We start from the raw sequence: 6,496 nt of genomic DNA, 5'->3' as shown, positions 1-6,496 counted from the left end.
CTGGGTGACAGAGTGAGACCCTGTCTCAAAAAGAAAAAAAAAAAACTTTTATTCTAAGATAGTAAGTAGCCTTGCTCTTAGACTCTTCCCTGTGTATTTGGACTGACTTGGGCACCTTCCTTTGAATGATGAAAGGCTACCTGACCTTGAAGCAAGGATATAAATCCACACATGCTCTCCGTATTTGATGAGTAGATCTTCCTCAATGCCTCTGATCAGTTGAACTTTATTTTAATTTGAGAAATCATGTATTTTTCATCACTTTATTTGCCTTCCCAGTTAGAGGGCTTTGTCCTCACACAGGCTTCCTGTTATTTACCTGGCAAATAAAGCAACAATATTCTAGGCCTGTTTGTCTCCAGGAAGCCTGCTGAAGTGCTATTAGCCAGAAGAGTGTGTCCAAATGGAAGCATGCAGGTTAATAGAGACCAGCCTTTGCAAACAGCAAACAAAGTCCAGCTGGCGGAAGACAGGACGAAACCATATTTCAATTACCTGTTTGTTCAGAAACCGTGTGGAGTGTGTCTGGGGCATGCTTCTTTTAGAAGAGCCTCCCCATATGCCCACTGCACTTCTGGGCACCTGTCATCAAACCTGGCAGCAACTGTTTGTCTTTTCCCTGCCTCTTCTCACTGCCTGTGCTGGGAAAACAGAAGGACAGAAAACAAAGCCCTGAGGGCCAATTAACCCACAGCGCCACCCCTCACTCCCAGCCATTCTTCCCAAACACTCAGACACATGTTTCTGATGCACTGTTGGGGACTCTCTCTTTCCCACCCAGCATGCGGATGGCGCCCCTTGGCCTTGCAGTCTGCAGAGGGACGTGCAGTCTGGCCTGGATTTGCCTCCTGGTTCTCTGTGCCAGGTGTATTCATCTGTTCAGGCTGCTGTAACCAAGTGCCACAAACTGGGGGCTTACACAACAGAAATGGATTATCTCCCAGTTCTGGATACCGGAAGTCTGAGAACAAGGTGTCAGCAGAGGTGGTTCCTGCCAAGGCCTGCGAGGGAGATTCTGTTCCTTGCCTCTCCCCTGGCTTCTGGTGCTTGGCTGGTGATCTTGGTGTTCCTTGGCTTCTGCTGCGTCCCCCCATCTCTGCCTTCATCTTCACATCATATTCCCCGTCCGTCTATGTTGGTCTCTGGGTCCAAAGTTTCCTTTTATAAGGACATCAGTTGTGTTGAAATAGGGCCCACCCTACTCCAGTATGAACTTATCTTAATGAATTTCATCTGCCATGACCCTATTTCTAAATATGGTCAAATTTTGAGGTATTGGGGGTTAGCTGTCAACATTTGAACTTTGAGGGAAACACAAGTCACTTTGTGATATGGTTTGGCTCTGTCCCCACCCAAATCTCATCTTGAATTGCAGCTTCTATGATTCCCATATGTTGTGGGAGGGGCCTGGTGGGAGATGATAATTGAATTATGGGGTCACTTTCCTTTATACTGTTCTTGTGGTAGTGAATAAGTCTCACAAGATCTGATGGGTTTTTTTGTTTGTTTGTTTGTTTGTTTGTTTGTTCGTTCGTTTGTTTGTTTTGAGAGGGAGTCTCCCTCTGTTGCACCCAGGCTGGAGTGCAGTGGCACGATCTCAGCTCACTGCAACCTCCGCCTCCCAGGTTCAAGTGATTCTCCTGCCTCAGCCTCCCGAGTAGCTGGGATTACAGGTGCCTTCCACCACGTCCAGCTGATTTTTTGTATTTTTAGTAGAGATGGGGTTTCGCCATATTGGCCAGGCTGGTTTCAAACTCCCAACCTCAGGTGATCCAGCCGCCTCGGCCTCCCAAAGTGCTGGGATTACGGGCATGAGCCAACGCGCCTGGCCGATCTGATGGTTTTTTAAGGGGAAACCCCTTTCACTTGATTCTCCTTCTCTCTTTGCCAGCTGCCATGTAAGACGGCCCTCTGCTCTTCGTCTTCTGCCATGATTGTGAGGCCTCCCCAGCCCTGTAGAACTGTGAGTCAATTAAACCTCTTTCTTTTGTAAATGACCCAGTTTCGGGTATGTCTTTATCAGCAGTGAAAAAACAGACTAATACACCTTGGAAAACCAGGTGAGTGATCTGGACAGGTTTTTCAACCTCTCATATCCTTGGTGTCTTTAAAATCAGGAGACGATGCTCATCTGAGGCGTGAATTTGGTAGTTTTGCACAGCACCTAGCACATGAAAGACATTCGATATTTCTTCAAACAATCACAAGACTCCAAGATTGTTACCCTATTGTAGCTAGATCAGTTTGGCCCATGATGGTTTCACTTACCGGATTCTACTTCTGTTTTTAGAAAATGTTCTGCTGCTTAAACACAAACAAAACAAACCACTGATCTAAGAAGTACTGATCTAACAAAAGCAGCACTTTTCTGACATTAGCACTTGTCCCTGTCCCTCGCTTCAATATTCCTGCTCAGTATAACATTCCAGAATGACTCTTCTGAGTGATGGGATGATCAAAACTAAATTAACAACCAGGACTCCAGGACTACAGAGTCTGACACAAGATCAGAAGAGCAGGAGCCAGTCCCAACCAGCTCTGGTTCTGACCAGCAGGGTGACTTTGAGCTTCAGGATCCTCCTGTATGAAGAGGGATAATTCTACCATCCCCCTCTGCTCTATGGAAGAGCAAGCAAAAGAATTTATGTAAAAGCCCGCTGTAAAGTGTATACTGTGAACAAGAATGGAACATTCTGTCTTGCCAGGCTCTGTGATCAGAAATATGAGAAGAATTCACTCCACATGCATACCTCTTCTCCACTATTTGTCAATTCCATGTTGTATTGATCCCAAAAGCCACTAAATCCATTGCTTCACATGGATTTACAGGCCAGAAGGAGACCCATATAGCCGATATCATTTATTATACCTTATTCCACCACAAAATCAATATAAATGTGTCATGAAAGATCAAAATTCTTGTGAGTCTGCACCATATCCATAAACTAAGCAAAGTTTTGGGATTTCTGGTTTAATTTAGCCATAAGTATCAGGAAATAGAGAACAGGAAATTGAGCAAAAAGAAACCGAACAAAATCAAAAGAAGTCAGAATCTGAACGAAACACAAGGCCTAGGGATTTCACTGCTCAGCAGTGGGTCCTGGGCGTGGTGGGCTACTGGGTTTGTGAGTCCAGTGAACCATACCTCCTGATTCATACCTTGCTTGGTTCCCTCCACTTCAGTGTCAGCTGGGCCTGTGACTAGTCGGCTTGAACCAACGAAGTGGCAGAAGGGACGCTGTGTGGTTGGGAGCCTAAGCCTTAGGAGGACTTGGCAGCCTCCACTTCTGTGTACCTGAGAGCCCTGTGCTACCACGTTAGAATCTGAACCTCCTGCTGGAGAGGCCACATGGAGAGCACAAGCCCTGAGACTACCTGCAGAAGAACCAAAGAACCCAGGCCAGTGGGAAGAACTGAGGTCCCAAAGACATGACCTCAAGAGAGCCATTCCAGCCACCTCCAGCCATTTGAGCCATCCTTGCTGGGGCACTGGACATGGGGTGAAGATGCCACCCTGAACCTGTCCCAGCAGACACCACTTGGAGCAGAGAGAAGCTCAGAGGGCCACTGAGTTATGCAGCAGTGGCTCACAGAACAAGGGTTGAAGAAGCCAGGACAGGGGGTCCAGCTGAGGTCAGCTGGGCTCTGCTTCTAACAATTCCTAGTTGGAGCTGAAAGCAAGTATGGGCAAATTAAAACTCTCAAGGGGCAAGTTAGGAAGCAAAAAGAGGAGTTACTTGGGGCAAAATAGAGAATTCATAGATGCCCTACATACAAATAGAAGGAGGAAAGATGAGGAGAGGGACTTAGGAGGAAGGAACTGAGATGCTCTAATGGGGAATTTGATTAATTTCTTCTTCTCTATTATTTCAGGAAACCTTCAATACTGCTATCCATTTCTTGTGACTACATCACAAAGGTAGATGTTTGAGAGATGCACCTAAGAGCTGGGTGATACACTCAGGTGACACCTGCTCCTCGAAAGTTGTGTGCAGAAGCCCCAGGGAACTAAGGATTTTCCTCTTTGATTGGCTAAATCATGTTAATAAACTTTTGTGATTCAAAGATTTTCCTGCTCAAAGCATCCACGTAACCCCAAAGATGCTCCAGGAAGAGGCAATCCAGTTCTAACACAACCTAGCTAAATTATTTGCATGGATAAGGCCAACCTCAGGTAATATAAATCCAATGCCTTTTTCAGTGATGACCAAGGTAAGGCAGGCCCCAAAAGAGCCCTGGGAAGAGAAAGCCAGGGCAGATGTAGTCTTCAGGAGCTCATGGAATGGTCCAGAATTATGGGCAATTATCGCTCAAGAGGTCAGCATGCCAGAAGCCAAGCTTCAAACACCACCCTGTGCCTTCAGAATCTAACTTCAGCCAGATTCAATACACATGGTTTCTTACTTATATCCACACCAGCCGCAGCTATCTTGGTCTTGGGTTTTCTTGGGATTTTGCCATTTATTTGGCTCAGATTTTACCATTGACTACTGGCACTCTGCTACTGATCCAGGCCCTTCCATACTCATGCTCTGCTCTCCTTCAATCCATCTGCCCAGGGCTGACATCAGCACGGGTCCCTGTCCCTAGCTTCAATATCCCTGCTCAGTATAAACATTCCAGAGTGACTCTTCTGAGGGATGGGATGATGAAAACCAGATTAGCAACCAGGACTCCAAGGAAGTGAGAGGGTTTGAAGCAAGCCAAGCAGGCAGTTGAGAGACAGAACCTCCAGAAGAACATGGACATTGGAGAGGAAGGTAGGGCAACCAGGAATCTGAAAAACAGCAGGAATCCCAGACAAGCAAGAATCCAGCCAGCCTTCTCTAAAGATCCAAGAGGAGCAAGTCAAGAAACCAGGGGAGAAGGCTGGACACAGCCCCAATGCAATATCATGTGCACTGTTGTGGAAAAGAAAAACGACCCTGAAAGCGAAAAGCGAAAAACAAGAAGCCCTTGACCCTAAGGCATACATTTAAACCATCAGAGGATCTTTTCCATAACTCTGTCTCAGGGACGGGAAGACAATCAAAAGAGGAGCTGGGTGGCTGCACCTGCCCGGACATGAAGACAGGGCAAAGGTTGGGATGAAGGCAGGTTGGGGACATCACTCTTTACTTTGGTCCCTACATTCCTTGATGTTGAGTCAGGCGACATGAGTGGTATTGGAAGTGGCCTCCTATGCCCAAGTGAATGCCCAGCTTTACTCTGAATGTGGCCTCTGTGCCATTCACGGAGACCCATCATCTCCTCATCATCTCTCCTTAGACCTGTATAGTTATTTGATTGGATTTTTAGAAAGGGGAATGTCAGTGGCAAGAACAGAAAGTTCATAGTCCCCATGATATGCTGAACAGGACAAAGAAAAGGAAATGTCACTACCCTCAAAAGACAAGTCACACACCGACCCTTCCAATCAAAAACACAACAGAGTGGCAGCTTGTCCTTTGCATGTGATCCTCAGACTCACCTTGCAGTGCATCAGGCTGAGTCACATTTGGCCAACATTGAGGGGTGGCTGTAAAAGTTGCCCCTCCATGGCCCTCTGGTTATTCCATGCCACAGGCCTGCCCAGCGCCATTCAGCTGCAGGGCCACCATGTCTTCAAAGACCACACAAATAACAGACTGTCAGAAATCTGCATAAGACTAGGAGAGATTGTGAGGCCAAACAAGAATGTCTCCCTCTGCAGAACCCTGCTGCAAACTGCCCCTTAGTTGATCTGAAAGGAGGACAAGCTCTGTCTATGTGGGAGGAAGAGCAAAGTGTTTTCCTTCTGGTGTCTCTGAGCAGATAATTGGAGCCAGAGTGACGGGGAGGGAGCAAATTCACACCAGAGCAGCTGTTTCTTCTGCCTGTTTTGAAACTCATTGCAAAAATAATAGACTTCAAGGATGGAAGTGCACTCAGTTGCCATGCCCAAGATGGCGGTGTCATCTCACATAGCAAAGGGAATGGTGCTCTCCCTGGCCAATTTTGCATTTTAATGCCGAGAGGCAGCTGTCTTGTCGACAGCAGTTTCACTGTGTTTTAAGAGAGTTTCTTTCATATACCTCCTCATTCACAGTGGAAAATATTGTCTCAAAGAGCCCTTAGAAGTGCTTTATTAGAAACCTAAAGTTTTAGGCCGGGCACGGTGGCTCACACCTGTAATCCCAGCACTTTGTCAGGCCAAGATGGGCAGATCGCTTGAACCCAGGAGTTCAAGACCAGATGGGGCAATGTAATAAGACTTCATCTCTACAAAAAATAAACAAAATTAGCCACATGTGGTGGCGTGCACCTGTGGTCCCAGCTACTTGGGAGGCTGAGCTGGGTGGATCGCATGAGCCTAGGAGGTTGAGGCTGCAGTGAGCCAAAATCACACCACTGCACACCAGCCTGGGAGACAGAGCAAGACCCTGTCTCAAAAAAGAAAAAGAAACCTAAAGTTTTGAAAGGTGTTATGGATTGAATTGTGTTCCCCTCAAATTCATATTCTGAAGCCCTTATTCCC

The 6,496-nt window shown here is 46.6% G+C and overlaps 1 annotated feature.

Moving 5' to 3' along the window:
* Positions 5,440 to 5,941: an enhancer, noted in NCBI's record as "NANOG hESC enhancer chr18:56758336-56758837 (GRCh37/hg19 assembly coordinates)". NCBI's record gives its function as "activates a minimal SCP1, AML or CMV promoter by ChIP-STARR-seq in primed H9 embryonic stem cells {active_cell/tissue: H9 hESC(primed)}" and the evidence as "EXISTENCE:reporter gene assay evidence [ECO:0000049][PMID:30033119]".

The sequence above is a fragment of the Homo sapiens genome, chromosome 18 (genome assembly GCF_000001405.40).
Source record: "Homo sapiens chromosome 18, GRCh38.p14 Primary Assembly".
Taxonomy (NCBI): domain Eukaryota; kingdom Metazoa; phylum Chordata; class Mammalia; order Primates; family Hominidae; genus Homo; species Homo sapiens.
This window is presented reverse-complemented; position numbering and strand designations above follow the sequence as displayed.